At 52.2% G+C, this 15,107-nt stretch overlaps 1 protein-coding gene across 4 annotated transcripts in view, besides 8 other annotated features; it reads right to left on the reverse strand.

Moving 5' to 3' along the window:
- Nucleotides 1-15,107, reverse strand: part of VDAC1 (voltage dependent anion channel 1) — a 142,670-nt gene that overhangs the window by 117,627 nt on the left and 9,936 nt on the right. The gene's annotated exons all lie outside the window — the stretch shown is intronic.
- Nucleotides 981-1,275: a silencer, noted in NCBI's record as "tiled region #10905; K562 Repressive non-DNase unmatched - State 22:ReprW". NCBI's record gives its function as "represses a minimal TATA promoter and a strong SV40 promoter by Sharpr-MPRA in K562 cells {active_cell/tissue: K562}" and the evidence as "EXISTENCE:reporter gene assay evidence [ECO:0000049][PMID:27701403]".
- Nucleotides 9,861-10,155: a silencer, noted in NCBI's record as "tiled region #12956; HepG2 Repressive non-DNase unmatched - State 1:Tss, and K562 Repressive DNase matched - State 8:EnhW". NCBI's record gives its function as "represses a minimal TATA promoter and a strong SV40 promoter by Sharpr-MPRA in HepG2 and K562 cells {active_cell/tissue: HepG2 | K562}" and the evidence as "EXISTENCE:reporter gene assay evidence [ECO:0000049][PMID:27701403]".
- Nucleotides 10,810-10,929: an enhancer, noted in NCBI's record as "active region_23122". NCBI's record gives its function as "activates an Ori minimal core promoter by ATAC-STARR-seq in GM12878 lymphoblastoid cells {active_cell/tissue: GM12878}" and the evidence as "EXISTENCE:reporter gene assay evidence [ECO:0000049][PMID:35858748]".
- Nucleotides 10,940-11,189: an enhancer, noted in NCBI's record as "active region_23123". NCBI's record gives its function as "activates an Ori minimal core promoter by ATAC-STARR-seq in GM12878 lymphoblastoid cells {active_cell/tissue: GM12878}" and the evidence as "EXISTENCE:reporter gene assay evidence [ECO:0000049][PMID:35858748]".
- Nucleotides 11,993-12,960: an enhancer, noted in NCBI's record as "H3K4me1 hESC enhancer chr5:133437181-133438148 (GRCh37/hg19 assembly coordinates)". NCBI's record gives its function as "activates a minimal SCP1, AML or CMV promoter by ChIP-STARR-seq in primed H9 embryonic stem cells {active_cell/tissue: H9 hESC(primed)}" and the evidence as "EXISTENCE:reporter gene assay evidence [ECO:0000049][PMID:30033119]".
- Nucleotides 12,104-12,153: an enhancer, noted in NCBI's record as "active region_23124". NCBI's record gives its function as "activates an Ori minimal core promoter by ATAC-STARR-seq in GM12878 lymphoblastoid cells {active_cell/tissue: GM12878}" and the evidence as "EXISTENCE:reporter gene assay evidence [ECO:0000049][PMID:35858748]".
- Nucleotides 12,541-12,835: an enhancer, noted in NCBI's record as "tiled region #13334; K562 Activating DNase matched - State 12:CtcfO". NCBI's record gives its function as "activates a minimal TATA promoter and a strong SV40 promoter by Sharpr-MPRA in K562 cells {active_cell/tissue: K562}" and the evidence as "EXISTENCE:reporter gene assay evidence [ECO:0000049][PMID:27701403]".
- Nucleotides 13,322-14,192: an enhancer, noted in NCBI's record as "H3K4me1 hESC enhancer chr5:133438510-133439380 (GRCh37/hg19 assembly coordinates)". NCBI's record gives its function as "activates a minimal SCP1, AML or CMV promoter by ChIP-STARR-seq in naive H9 embryonic stem cells {active_cell/tissue: H9 hESC(naive)}" and the evidence as "EXISTENCE:reporter gene assay evidence [ECO:0000049][PMID:30033119]".

Genomic DNA, 15,107 nt, shown 5'->3' on the forward strand with positions numbered 1-15,107 from the left:
TTTAGGATATTGGAAGAAACATTAAGGCAGGGCTGCCCTGATTAAAAGGTAGAGGCACTGAGGAGAGGTGGGGGGAGCCAGGCAACCCCCCATCATGCCTTTCCCTGCTCCCTTCTGCATGCAGAGTAGCCAGTTCACCTCTCCCAGGTACCTTTGAAAATGTGGCTCATGGCCGGGTGTGGTGGCTCATGGCCGGGTGCGGTGGCTCATGGCTGGGTGCAGTGGCTCATGCCTGTAATCCCAGCATTTTGGGAGGCCAAGGCGGGTGGATCACTTGAGGTCAGGAGTTCGAGACCAGCCTGGCCAACATGGTGAAACCCCGTCTCTACTAAAAATACAAAAAAATTAGCCAGGCATGGTGGCGCATGCCTGTAATCTAAGCTACTTGGGAGGCTGAGGCAGGAGAATGGCTTGAACCTGGCAGGCAGAGGTTGCAGTGAGCTGAGATCATGCCATTGCACTCCAGCCTGGGTGACAGAGAGAAACTCTGTCTCAAAAAAAAAGAAAGAAAGAAAATGTGGCTCAGTAGGAATTAATGAGGTGGGCGCCAAATTGTTCATTCTCAGGCCTCGTCCAGTCTGGGGAGGACCCAAATTTCTGCCCCAGTTCCTCCTTCCATCAGTCCCCACATTCAGGCCAAGCTAGGTCCCACCTCCGAGCACTATCCATGCTGCCTGAATGTCCTCTCACCTACCCAAGGTTTGCCCTTCCCAGGCCCCAGGAGCTACTCTAATTCTTCGTGGAATATTCCTGGGTGGTTGGTTCAGAGACCCACTGATGTTCTGCCCCCAAACGCCTGGCGTTTCTCCTCTTCTGAACCACACCAATTAGCCTTGATTACAGAATGGACGCATTGTTCTCTAACAGTTTCATATGTGCAAGCCCCAAATCCCCAGATGGGAAGGGTGCGTGGATGGTGAGGGTGGAGCTAAGCCAAGCCTCTGCTTCTCTCTGGGCCTCAGTTTTTCCATCTCTGAAAGAAGGAGATGGCACAGAGACTCCATAAGCCCCCTTCCCCACAACCATGAAATGCTTTGGCCTGGTTCTCTGGTCTTCAGGAAAGATAAGTGATGATTGGCTGTCCTCCCACCCTCAGCCTCCACCCTTGGGCCCCGTGCCAGCAAACCTGCTCCCACCAACCTCCGCTCAAGGTCGCAGCCCTTGGCCTCCACCCCCAGCCCCACCCCCTGCCACTGAAAGGCAGCACTGGGGCAAACATCCTAAACCACCGAATGCTTCTAAAAATATGGTGTTTTTGTCAGAGAGCAACCTTCTACTTCCTTCAGGCTTTGATCTCCATGCAACCCACGGAGGAGAAGACACACTTACAATAACAGTTTAAAGCCTTCATCTTCCTTTGGGGTCTACCTCTCAAGGATTTTGAATCCCCAGCTGGGTGGTGGTAACCTATGGTCCTTCTGAGCATGCTCAGATCCAACTGCAGTGGCTCAGAGACTTCATACAGCTGGTCCTACCCCTGATCTGTGGTCAGGAAGAAAAGTCCAGAACAGAGAGGCTTCCAGGGCACAAAGTGGCCACGGAACACTATGCAAGTTTATAAGGCCCTTTACTATCTGCACTCTAGGGAGAAAAATTAAGGCCATAGGGTAGGGCAGAATAAAATCAGTGCTCAAGCACAGAAATGGGCTGTGAAAAAGGAATGGAGGGTCTAACTCTAGCACAGTCCCTGGACAGCACAGACAATAAGTATTTGTTGAACTTTTCATGAAGATCAAGAAATAGAGCACGGCTTGTGCCCTGGAAATGCTCCCTGTCCCACCCACATCCTTCCCCCTTCCTCACTGAAGGTTACCACTATTCCAACGTAGGGTAACCACTTAGAACATTCCAGGTTTTCCCCCTAACTTGCCTATCCCCTAACACCACAGAATCATCATGCGTGGTCAGATTATATATGACTAGGCAGATGGGGAAAGTTCTTCACACAACATTGTGAACTGGACATTGGAAGGATGTCGATCGATGGGGACAGAGAAGTAAAGGGATTTCCTGGCAAAGGGAAGAGCATGGGCAAAGGCTGGGCCACAATGAGCAAGAAAAGCACAAATGCACACCATATTTGGCAGAAATAGAAGTATGGAAACTCTCCCACTAGGTCTGCAGACACATGAGCTCTTGCTGCCCTGCTGGAAACACAGGTACAAGCAGAAAAAACAGAGACAGTGATAAAAGGATCATCTATAAACAGACTGTGTACCAGGCGCCGTTCTAAGCACTGACCACGTGGGTCCTGACAACAGAACTGAGTTGTCATTGTCCACATTTTTCCTAGAGGGAAACAGAGCTTCAGAGAGGGGATGTTCTTTGGCCCCAGATTAGTGACAGAGCCAGATCTGAAATCATGCAATCCAGCTCCTGATGAATAAGCCCACGCAGGCTGCACTGAGCCTTCATGCAGGCTGGGTGTGTGCTTGGTAAGTCAGATCCTGGCCTTCCTGCTTCAGCAGGTGTCCAGGGAATAACCCCAGTGCCCATGTACTCAGGTCTCCTTTGCGCCACTCTCTGCTCGTTGCTTCCTTTAGTCTGCCAGCAACCCTTGAACTAAGTCCTGGTGTTTGTTATCAAAACCAGATGAGGAACCAAGGCTCATTGTGATTAACTCACATAGTTACTAAGTGGTAGAGTGGGGATCTGAACTCAGATCCCTTAATCCAAATCCTGTGCCCCTAACTTCTGTATTCTAAGGCCTCTCTAAATTTCACCCCCTGCCTGGGAATTCCAGACTGTGAGTAATTCAAACATGTCTGAAAAAGTCAAAATCACTATAATTTCCTAAAGACTTCAATAGAGGCAGAACATCTCACTTCAAAACAAAAAAATTATCAGCAAAACTGCCAAGGGGGCTCTGAGTCACTGTCTTGGGCTTCTCCCTATTTTGGAGAGGGAGGTGTGTGGAAGAGCTCCGGGGCACAGGCCAGCCTTGAAAGAATAAGGGTGGGGTCCTCGCTTTGTCCCTCATGTGCCGTTGAATCCTGGGGTAGTGTCTTGACATTTCTGGATCCATTAAATTAGCCAGGCATGGTGGTGGGTGCCTGTAATCCCAGCTACTCTGGAGGCTGAGGCAGGAGAATCGCTTGAACCCAGGAGGCAGAGGTTGCAGTGAGCTGTGATCGTGCCACTGCACTCCAGCCCAGGCAACAGTGCAAGATTCCGTCTCAAAAAAAAAAAAAAAAAGATGTGTTGGTTTCCTTGGGTGACCTCTGACACTGATTCTGGAACCACTGGTGTCAGATTACCCCAAAACCCCAGCGATGCCCCACACAGAAGGAACAAAGGTATTATACTTATAGGATTGACACACAGTTCAGTAAATGCTAGGGCTTAGGTTACTATAGATTTGCACGCAAGTCTTCCCTCTCCATTGCAACCCTTGCCACTTCTCAGAGACCAGCGGAGCTGCTAGAATTTCCTTGTCTGGTGGTTCACAGCTTTGACCAAGGTTTGCCAAAGACACCTGCAGCAAAGGCCTCTTTCAAGCTAATGCACAATCATCCTTCCATGGGGATAAAGGTGATTTGTGGATTCATGACCCTGAGTCATAAATCTACCAGCAATCTGCTGCAGTTGGAAACAGCAGCTTTCTGGCCCTTGGCAAGCCTGCATGTACTTGTGAGTCATCTGAGCACAGGTGCATTTCAATTGATAGAACTGGATATGGGTCCTGAAAGGTTAGATGTAAAGAGAACCTCATTTCAAATGCCCTGGGGGAAGCCCTTGGCTTCCTAGAATGGGTAATACCACTGCCTGGCTTTTGAGTGCAGTTATATACTGATGTATTGGGAGTGTGAGGTATGGTGAGGAAGGTGTGCACAGTGGCAAGACTGACACACACGCATATAAGTGTGTGTGTGTGTGTCCAGAATGGCCCAGGTTGTGTTCCTTTAGAGCGGTGTCCCAGAGCTGTGCAACATGGTAGCCATGCATATGTTTATAGCATGTCCACAGGAAAACAGACCAGGCCATGCACTCCAGGCCAGGGCAGGCTGTCCCCTCATGATGCAAAGCAGAGAATCCCATCTCTGGCCAAGCCCAACAGACCTGTAATTTCCTGGCTGGCTGGTGATGTCTTTCCACAGGGTCTGACCAGGCTTCCCAGATGTGACTTCAGATGTGCACTGGTGTCAAGAGCGTGAGCCGGCAGAGAGAAGCATTCCAGATCTTCCGTCCAGGTTCTTCGATCAGGCTCAAAGCAGTGGGCTGGGTACAGGTCAGCCCTGAGCATACATGGCTCCACCTGCACCCACAGAGTTCTAGGGGGAGTGGAGGCGAGGGTACCACTCTCTGCTGCCCAGAGGACTGAGCCCAGGAAGAAACAGGTTGCTGAGCTGATACTCCCCAGAGAGGGATGGAAAGTGGCCAAGGCAGCCCCTCTCTTGTGGGCCTTTCCCTATTCTGGGAAGCACTGTGAGATACCTTTGAATGTCCCCCAGCTGTGAGTCTCCTGTCTGCCTCATCTGAGAGTAATTGTTACTTTCCTGCAATCTGTAGCATCAACCCCACTGAAATACCCCAGAGACCAGAGCTGTGTGATCCTGGACTCCATGAGGCCAGTGAGCGGTGAAGTGGGGGGCGGTGGGTGGAAGGCAGGTGCCCTGCTTCTTGGCTTAATGCAAAGTCAACAGGCTTGAGCACTGCCTCATCCAAGCAAGCACGAAGCTATTCCTGCCAGAGCACTTGGATCCTTCCTGCAGGTGCAGGTCATTCGCGTTCCAGGCAGCTCTGGGCCCTGGCCTCCATACTGCATACCTGGGCAGTCAGAGGGAGTGCCTGATGGATATCTGCCCTGCCTTGTCTGTCTTCCCATCAGGGTCCAGCCCAGGTAGCGGAACGACGACAGAGTTTCTTCCATATCAAACTCTGGTCGGTTAGAGGAGCAACAGAATGAAAAGACATGAAATGGCCGGGCGCGGTGGCTCACACCTGTAATCTCAGCACTTGGGAGGCCGAGGCGGGCAGATCACGAGGTCAGGAGATCGAGACCATCCTGGCTAACACGATAAAACCCTGTCTCCACTAAAAATACAAAAAATTAGCCGAGCGTGGCGGCGGACGCCTGTAGTCCCAGCTAGTCGGGAGGCTGAGGTAGGAGAATGGCGTGAACCCGGGAGGCGGAGCTTGCAGTAAGCTGAGGTCGCGCCACTGCGCTCCAGCCTGGGTGAAGAGTGAGACTCCGTCTCAAAAAAAAAAAAAAAAAAAAAAAAAAGACATGAAATGGGGCAGCTGCCTTTGTGCTCCCCAGTGAGAGGCCCTAATGCCAACGAGCAGCCTGCAGAGTAGGGAGGAGCTGCCCTGGGCCCCACAGCTGCCATGTCCAGGGCAAAGTACACACTGATGGGGCTGCCAGGGCCACTGCTGGGCTCCTGCCCAGACTGCAAAGGCCTGGGGAAACCCAAGGAAATGTCTTCAATTTAACCAAGAACTCTGAGTTTCCCACGTACATGCTGCAGAACCCAAGAGTCACCCCATTTGGGAGCATCAGTTCCTCCACATGTCCAGTTTCCTTTTCTAGCATTTCCCAAGGGGAACTCCACAAAATGCCAATAGACGTGCCATGTAAAAAAAGGTGGTGTGGTCAAATACATTTGGAAAATTTGAGATTAAATAAAACGGTTGTTTTCTAAGCAGAATATCTCAGTGCCTTTATTTAACATGCAAATATACGTCTCAAAAATCCAAGAGGAGGCTGGGCACAATAACACACACCTATAATCCCAGCAGTTTGGGAGGCTGAGGCAGGAGGCTCATCTGATGCCAGGAGTTCGAGACCAGCCTGGGCACTACAGGGAGATCCCATCTCTACAAAAAATTTTTAAAATTAGCTGGGTATGGTGGCTCGTGCCTATAGTCCCTGCTACTCAGGAGGCTGAGGTGGGGTGATTGCTTGAGCCCAGGAGATTGAGCCTGCAGTGAGCTATGATTGCATCACTGCACCCCAGCCTAGGCAGCAGAGTGAGACTCTGTCTCAGTAAATAAATAAATAAATAAATAAATAAATAAATAAATAAATCCAAGAGGAAGACAGAGTGGACTGTTTGCCAGATGTAATCTAACTTTTTCTCATAGACTATCACAAGACTGGGGTTTATTGGAATCCTTGGGTGGCCTTCCTCTATACCTAACGTTGCCATCCCCTCCCACTGCCCAATGATCCTAGTGAGCTGGGAGAGGCGAGCTGAGGCGCAGGACTCTAGGACTGCACTGCCCAGTTTAGCAGCTACCAGCCACACGTGGCTATTTACATTTAAATTCACTGCAACTAAATCAAACGTAAAGTGCAGTTCCTCGGTCACACCAGCCCCACTGTAAATGCTCAATGGCCACATGTGGCTAGTGGCTACTGTACTGGACAACACAGAGAACAATTTCCATCACTGCAGAAAGTTCTGGAGGAATGGTGCTTGTCTAGCTTCTAGAGAGGCTGGGAGACAAGCCCAGAGCCATAGAGAAATTCTAGGAAAGAGCCAAACCAGCTTCACCCTCCCGCTCTCAGCTTCAGAATCTGAGAACCAAGCTCCCTTGAGACCGATAAGCCATGGGCGCCAGCCACCGAGTCAGACTCTATCCCGCGTGCCAGAGGAGTTTCACTGAAACTGCAAGGAAGTGCGTGTTTCCTTTCCCCAGGGCCCGGGATTGTGCGGGGCAGCCCCTGACTCCCCCGCCTTGGTTCCCTCCTAGGGGCTTCCTCCTCAGCCCTCCCCAGGCCCCACTGACACTGCCGAGGGCAATGAGTCCTGGAAGAGGGAAGGGAGGAGTTGCGCTCCTCTCTCCAGTGCTCCTTTGTGGAGTCCCAGTCCCAGAGTGCCCTCACCCTCCATGCCAGGTGACAAGGCATCTAAAAGATTGCCTCTGCCCCCAGCCAGGGACCGGGCCCACAGCTTGACTGAGCAGCCCCGGCTGCAGGATTTAGGGCAGCTTCTAGGAGCTGTCTCTGCCAGGGCTCTCAGCATTATCCAATCCCAGTCTTGGGGAAGGGGGTTGTGGGCCACACGATCTCTCCTTTATCTAGCCAACTAAGGATGATCTGCTCTCACACCCCTGCCTTCCCCCTTTCTATGCTTATCTATATTTTCTTTTCTTTTCTCTTCTTCTTTTTTTTATTTTTTTTGAGACAGGGTCTCACTCTGTCACCTAGGCTGGAGTGCAGTGGCGTGATCAACCTTCACCTCCTGAGCTCAAGTGATCCTCCCACCTCAGCCTCCCAAGTAGCTGGGATTACAGGTGTGTGCCACCACACCTGGCTAATTTTTGTATTTTATGTAGAGAGAGGGTTTTTCATGTTGCCCAGGCTGGTTTTGAACTCCTGAGTTCAATCTGCCTGCCTCCGCCTCCTAAAGTGCTGGAATTACAGGCATACGCCACCGCACCAGCCCCATCTTTAGATGGACAGTTATGGGCTCTCCAGCAGGCAAACGAAGGCCTAGCTAAGGGGCTTGCAGCCCCCTCTGGGGAAGCCGTGGATTTCCTGGGACTTAGCCTATTGCTAGAGACTCGTGGTCCCAGCGCACATCCCTACCAGCGTCTCCAGTGTTGCCTCTCTCAAAGCACATGCCTGTCTCATAAAAAGATATCAGCATTAGTGCTGTCAGGACCCTTCACATCACTGCAATTAATGAACCCCACAGTCTCAAACATCCTGTTTCCAACATTTTGATAATAGTACCCTGTTTTCTTTTGGAAGGAAACCCAGGTTGGATTGATTAACAAATACAATCATTATTTAACCTCAGAACTTGGTTTTGAAATTAATTTACAATAAAAGAAAAACTCCTCACTAAATAATCTGTCTAATTACATGTTAAGGACTCAGAATGGAAAACATTCAGGAACACAAAAGACCCAACCAAGCTCATTAGCTCTGTTTGCCTCTAACTTATCTCTATGGCAACTCACAGAGGGTCCAGGGAAAAAAAGGTTTTTAAAATTAGATCATCAAGAACTTCATCCAGAACAGCCACAACACAAAACTCTTTCAAAAAGCCTTTGGTTGTTGAAATGGTGAGGGCATGTTTCCTGATCACAGATGAGCACAGGCGTAGGGGAGCCTCTTCCTGGAAGCCCTCGGCCACCTCGGTTCACCCTGTAGAGGTCATTTCAATGGCTGGAAGGTGCTTGGTCCCGCAGCCCTCACCCACGGTGGAGGGGCTGCTGGTGAAGGTGGTGAAAATGCTCCTCTGGACGTGGCGGGGAGAATAGAAGAGTGTGTGTTTTCTCAAAATGAGGCCCACAGACATAGAAGGAGCCAGACGTCTAATTTTGCCTGCAACTGCAGCTCAAGGTTCTGAAGGTTTTTCCACTGGGACCCTCACAGTACAAGTCTTGCCAACACAAGGATTCCTTTCTTTTTCTTTTTCTTTCTTTCTTTTTTTTTTGAGATAGAGTTTCGCTCTAGTTGCCTAGCTGGAGTGCAACGGCAAGATCTCGGCTCACTGCAACCTCTGCCTCCCAGGTTTAAGCAATTCTCCAGCCGCAACTTCCCGAGTAGCTGGGATTACAGGCGCCTGCCAGCACGCCTGGCTAATTTTTGTATTTTTAGTAGAGAACGGGGTTTGACCATTTTGCCTAGGCTGGTCTCAAACTCCTGACCTCAGGGGATCCACTAGCCTCAGCCTCCCAAAATGCTGGGATTACAGGTGTGAGCTACCATGCCCTGCTTATTATTATTATTATTATTATTATTATTATTATTATTATTTTGAGACAGAGTCTTGCTCTGTCACCCAGGCCGCAGTGCAGTGGCACGATGTCAGCTCATTGCAACCTCCATTACCTCTCAGGTTCAAGCAATTCTCCTGCCTCAGCCTCCCAAATAGCTGGGATTACAGGCACCCACCACCATGCTGGGATTACAGGCACCCACCACCATGACCGGCTAATTTTTGTATTTTTGGTAGAGACAAGGTTTCACCATATTGGCCAGGCTTGTCTCAAACTCCTGACTTCGGGTGATCTGCCTGCCTCAGCCTCCCAAAGTGCTGGGATTACAGGCGTGAGCCACCACACCCGGCCAAGGATTCCTTTCTTTCAGACCAGTCCTCTGCTAACCTCTGACAATGCTCCCCTCTCAACCTCCTGGACAGGTGGTGGTGTCCTGGTGGCCCTGACCACCAGCTCCATCTTTATAACATGAAGACCCTTGGCCCCAGGCCTCTAGGCCTTCTGCATGAGCTGGGCCTGATCTTTTCCTTGGGGCTGTCTGCAGCCTGCACAAGTGAGGGGACTAAGGCCACGGTGACCAGGGCAAGTCCAGCTCCTACTCTTACCCTGAGGGGCCCTCCCAGAGGGTTGAGTCACCTGGGGAGGGAGCAAAGTGCAAAAGGTCCAAGTTCTAGTCCACAATGGGTAGGAAAACAAACCAGCTCAGCTGCACCAGATCCAAAGTCATGTTTGAAGGCCTGTAATTTTGAAGGCCGAACCTGTTCAGGAGCAGTGGGCAAGCCAGGCTGGACTCCAGGCTCTGATCCTGAAGGAGCAATGAGAAGGGAGACCAGGCGCCGCTGGGGCTGCACAAATACTGGGTAAAATTCTGACACAGAGGAGAAACGGAGACTCATAGAGAGACACTGTAGGAGAGAAGGAAGGCGGGCAGAGAGGTGGACAGGCAGGAAAGGCAGGACTCATTGAAACTTACCAGCTCACAGCCTGTGTGCTTCAGGTCGAGCACAGACTCTTAAAAGTAGGGCTTTGGGTGGACTGTGATTTAGGCCATCAAAAAAAGCCAGCATCTGGTTGGGTCTGGCTTGGGGAGGGTGGCTCCGGCTTACCCTCTGTCACTGCAGAACTGCTCTTCAATGGGACCAGCCTTTTACATTCCCAGAAAGCCCCTCTGCTTCTCAGGGCCCTAAAGGTGCCGTTTGGGGATGCTAGAGGAGGCTGGAGCCCATGGGGTCCCTCTCACCCGCTTCCTTTCCACTTCCTCCTCTGGCTCATGCTCCTTATCTGACCAGCCTGGCGCAGTCCGGCACAGCTGCAGAGGGTCAGAGCATCACGTCTGGGGAGTCATAATGAACATGCTGCACGGCCTCCTGGAGGCAGCCTTTCTCACCTTTCTCAACCACCTTCTTTTTTTAACTTTTACTTTTTGAGACAGGATCTTGCTCTGTCACCCAGGCTAGAGGGCAGTGGTGCAATCACAACACGCAGCAGCGTTGACCTCTTTGGCTTAAGCAATTCTCCCAGCTCAGCCTCCCAAGTAGCTGGACTACAGGCGCATGCCATCATCCCCAGCTAATTTTGTTTTTATTTTTTGTAGAGACAGGGTCTCCCTAAGTTGCCCAGGCCGGTCTCAAACTCCTGGACTCAAGTAATCCTCCAGTCTCGGCCTCTCAAAGTGCTGGGATTGTGGGTGAGAGCCACCATGCCTGGCCCCAACTACCTTCTTTATCTCCCCAGAACCTATCGTCCAGGCCCAGGGTTGAGACAGAGTGGGAAGGGGTCCATCCCACATTCCCCAGGCCTCGCTGGTACAGCCTGGCCCCTTGGTTGGTATGGGGTCAATCCAAACACGCCCTGTGAGCCCAGCCTTATGTGGCTGGCCCTGTGCATAGGCACAGGCAGAGAAAACAGAAGCAGCAGGATGCTTTTTATTTGTTAATCTAGCTTTGATGCCCCACCTCCTTCTCACAAGGAGTGGAGGCCCCTCAGGGAGTACTAAGTGCCAGGAGTATAGACCCTAGCAGTGGCCTGGGCTGGTCTCCAGGAGGAGGAGGCAGTCAGGGCTCTCCCTGAAAGCAAGCTGGGGTTAAATATTTTTAGGGCAGAGGAGGCACAAACCAGCCAGAGCTACCTTCCTTTCTAATCTTACCCAGGCATTAAGCTTTGAGAGTATCCCCCTCATTTACATACATTCACATTTGATTTGCATACGATGCAAAGAATGGAAAATTCCCCCAGTGCTTAGCCCCAAGATTACAGTCTCTAATACTTTATTCCCACAACCGCGGCACCCCGTGACAGACAGGGGGTCCTGCCTGTGATCTAGATCTGGGCTCCCTGCAGCCTGGGACCCAGCCTGCAGCCTCCTGCCTAGAGGTAGCAGCTCCTGTGAAGGGGGTGGCAGCAGCAGACGCAGGCCTAGCAAAACAAGGTACTTTCACATGTGACTCACACCAAGGACCAGAAGCAGAATTACAGTGTGAAAAACCAGAGCCGGCCGAGACTCCGTCGGGGAATCCCCTCCAGCTCCCTCTCTGTTTCACTCCTTTAAAAAGCCCTGGCCATGGCCCAGCACTCTAGAACCCTCCAAGAAAGTGCTGTGCCTCCCATCCAGGATGGGCAGGGGCCATGGCACTTCAGCCAGGCCCCTTGACTTTCTCTCTGGGTTCTTGGGCTCAGAAATTACATCTAAGCAGAGAAAGAGGCAGAAGTGGATTCATCCCAGGGGCAGAGCTGGAACTGGACCTGGGAGCAGTTGCTGCCTTGCAGGCCCCAGGGCTCCATGCTCATATTTTTCTTGGCCTGGCTTCCTCCTTCTGATCCATTCTCTGAGCTACCCATACACATGCAGCAAACTATTCTGCAAGACCACCAGAGCTGATTTCTGTTGCTTGCAAGGAGTAATCCCAACGGAAACCAGACATTCTCTGTGATGGCAGGATGCCCTGAAGTCCTTGACGAAGGCCACCTTCAGCTCCTGACACATGTCTGGATTTTCTGCCACCCTCAAGGGACCAGCATGGCTTCAAATCCTGCTCCTCTCAGTTTCCAGGGGCCTGACCTTGGGCACTTCCTTTCTCCGAGCCCCTAATTCTCTCACCTAGAAGATGATGCTGTTAATTAAGAAACACAGGATTGGCCAGGCGCGGTGGCTCACGCCTGTAATCCCAGCACTTTGGGAGGCCGAGGCAGGCAGATCACCCGAGGTCAGTAGTTCGAGACCAGCCCGGCCAACATGGTGAAACCCCATGTCTATTAAAAATACAAAAAAATTAGCCGGGCGTGGTGGTGCATGCCTGTAGTCCCAGCTACTCAGGAGGCTGACGTTGCAGTGAGCCGAGATCCACCACCACACTCCAGCCTGGGTGACCGAGCGAGACTCTGTCTCAAAAAAAAAAAAAAGAGTCCTGGCCTGTGAGCTGTTGTGAGCTTCACCGGCGTCGGCACAGGAGGTAATCCGTAAATGTGAGTTAACATTGTTCCTGTCACCATTGTTATTGCTATTATCCCACCAGCCTGAGTAGCTGTGTCAGGGTAGGGTCGGGACTCCTGACTGCTGGATCACTCTCAGGGACACCTTGTGCCATCCCTCACTGGGGTCCTCGTCAGCTGTGTGTCACAGCTGTCACCAACACTGATGTGGGGCTCCAGCAGGAGTTTCAGAACTGCTGAGCAGCTGCCAGGGCTCAGATGCAGCCTGACCCTCCCATTAGGCCCCGTGTTAGAGACTTCATTCCAAGAGACACCCTTCTAGGAGTCATGGGAACCAACATGCTGGCCAGTAGGCCAGCTTCGGAGTCCAGGCGAGAACGCTGTCGCAGCTCCCTGGTGACTGGAACGAGACTGCATGCCCATCCTCCACTATTCAGCGGCAGCAGCTGTGATGGGAGGCACAGGGGAGCGGTTTCCTTTTGAGGGTCCCGGGTCCAAACATCACCCTGGTTACTTCCCACTCCTGCAGTTGAGAGGCACGGCCCCTTCCAAATCCAGCCACCAGGGGGGGTCTGTGAGCAGCCCCCGCCGCTCTGGGGGGACTCTGGGCCTCGCCTGGGCTGAGAGGGGAGGAGGCTGAGGAACGGGCCACAGGGTCATCCGGGGCCAGTGCAGTGAGTGCACTCGTGGTCTGAATGGAGCAGACTCCCCAGCCCATCCCCCCACCCTCTACCCCCCCCACCCCAAAGCTTTTATTTCCACCTGCATTTTAAAAATAATATTAGGCCTGGCGCGGTGGCTCAAGCCTGTAATCCCAGCACTTTGGGAGGCTGAGGTGGGCGGATCACCTGAGGTCGGGAGTTCGAGACCAGCCTGACCAACATGGAGAAACCCCGTCTCTACTAAAAATACAAAATTAGCCAGGCGTGGTGGCGCAAACCTGTAATCCCAGCTACTCGGGAGGCTGAGGCAGGAGAATCGCTTGAACCCGGGAGGTGGAGGTTGTGGTGAGCCGAGATCATGCTATTGCACTCTAGCTTGGGCAACAAAAGTGAAACTCTGTCTCAAAAAAATAAAATAAAATAAAAACATTAAATAATATTTTTTTAATTACAAAAGCAACTCATGGTCAATTCATGACATGGGTGCTCTGGGTTTTCTGGTTTGTTTTACTTAGCTGCATGCTTCAAGATTTCCTGAGTTTGGGCTATAGGGCAGAGGAGGGTCCCTGCCTCTGGGCCTCAGTTTCCCCTGGGTGCATGTCTGGAGGTCCTAGTGTTCTCCTGAGTCTCCCTGAGTTCTCAGGGAGTTGTTAGAGTCTCTTTCTTTGGTGTTCAAAGGTGGTCCCAGAGAAGGTGGGACAGGGAGGACCAAACCTCAGCCTCTGCTCCCAAGACCTCTGCCCCTCCCGCAGGAGCCCTCACTGTCCTCCCTCCCCTCTGAGGGCCGGCTCAGCTCAGAGTCTCTGCTATTTGGGGCACGTCATGACCCCACGCCCTGTCCAGACGGTGTCATTCTTTTATTTATTTATTTATTTGAGACAGGGTCTGGCTCTGTCACCCAGGCTGGAGTGCAGTGGTGCAATCTCAGCTAACTGTAGCCTCCACCTCCCAGGCTCAAGCCATCCGCCCACCTCAGCCTCCCGAGTAGCTGGGACTACAGGCATGTACCATCACACCTGGCTAACTTTTGTATTTTTTCTAGAGATGGGGTTTTGCCATGTTGCCCAGGCTGGTCTCAAACTCCTGGGCTCCAAGTGATCCGGCCACCTCGGCCTCCCAAAGTGCTGGTATTACAAGCATGAGCCACTGTGCCAGGCTGGTGTCATTCTTTAACTTCACACCAACTGACACCGTTGTTTCTCTGGGTGCTCTGGCACCTCCCATGGCAGGAGAGATCGACTCCCCTCTGCAAGGGCCTCATAGTTTAGCTCTCCGCCAGCCTTCAAGCTGGTGCCCTGAGTACTTCGAGACTTTCTGTGGGCACAAAGGAAAGGCCCAGACAGCATTTCTCACGCTTGGAAATGCAGACACACTGTGAGCCTGTCTCAGGTATGAGTCCCAGCAGCCAAAGGGTTGTTTTTAAGTGCTTCCCCCCTGCAGATTTGAATCTCATCCTCAAACATAAAACGAAATGTTTACCAGCGCCGCCACACAAGCGTGAGTAGTTCAGGCACAGGCCAGAACACCACACTATCTTGTAGCAGGAGGAGCGGGGGCAAAAAGCCTTGGGACTTCTGTCCCTCCCCAGTTTGAGGTCCTAGGAGCAGGGCTGAGCAAGGGGCACTAGGAGCGCTGCTCGGCTCCTAGGTGGAAGTAGAAAGGCAGGCTCATCTCTGAGGACCTGGGGCTTCCTCAGCTCCTCAGTTCCCACCTTCTCAGAACCAGATGCCAGGCACCAGCCCCAGGGGCAGATTGGAGGGACCCACCCGGCCCACCCTGAGCCCTGGCCTGGGTCCCGAAATCCACCATGATGGGCAAGTTACGTCACTAGGGCCCAGCCTGCTGCAAATGAGGAAACCCCCGCCCCAACCAAGGGGCTGTGAATTTCAGAAGGGGAGTTTTTGGCCACAGAACCAGTCCTACAATGAATCAGGGATGAGCAGAGAGGCCCCATGAAAGCCCTTCCCCTCATCCCTCATCTGTCTCTGCCATGTACCCATTTTCCCAGGCCACTACAAGCCCCAAGAAGGGAGGTGACTTGCTCACACTCAGTGGGTGCAGGGGTGCTGGCGGCTGCCCACAGTGGGTGGGCATCCCTGAGCGGGTGAGAATCCCGGAGGGAGGGAGAGTGGCTGGATCACTGCACAAAGGGTCTTGTACGTGCAGGGCGAGAGGCACCAAAGCTCCGCTTAGAACAGGAACAAGAATCTCCAGTTTATAAGGGTGCCCTCTGCCCGAGATGCTGCCCTCTGAGCTAGGTCCACCCTGGGGGCCCCTCAGGCCTGCTGGGGGTAGGGAGAGGGAGGCAAGGGATGCAGGGTGGGGTTGCTTTTAACCTCC

The sequence above is a fragment of the Homo sapiens genome, chromosome 5 (genome assembly GCF_000001405.40).
Source record: "Homo sapiens chromosome 5, GRCh38.p14 Primary Assembly".
Taxonomy (NCBI): Eukaryota; Metazoa; Chordata; class Mammalia; order Primates; family Hominidae; genus Homo; species Homo sapiens.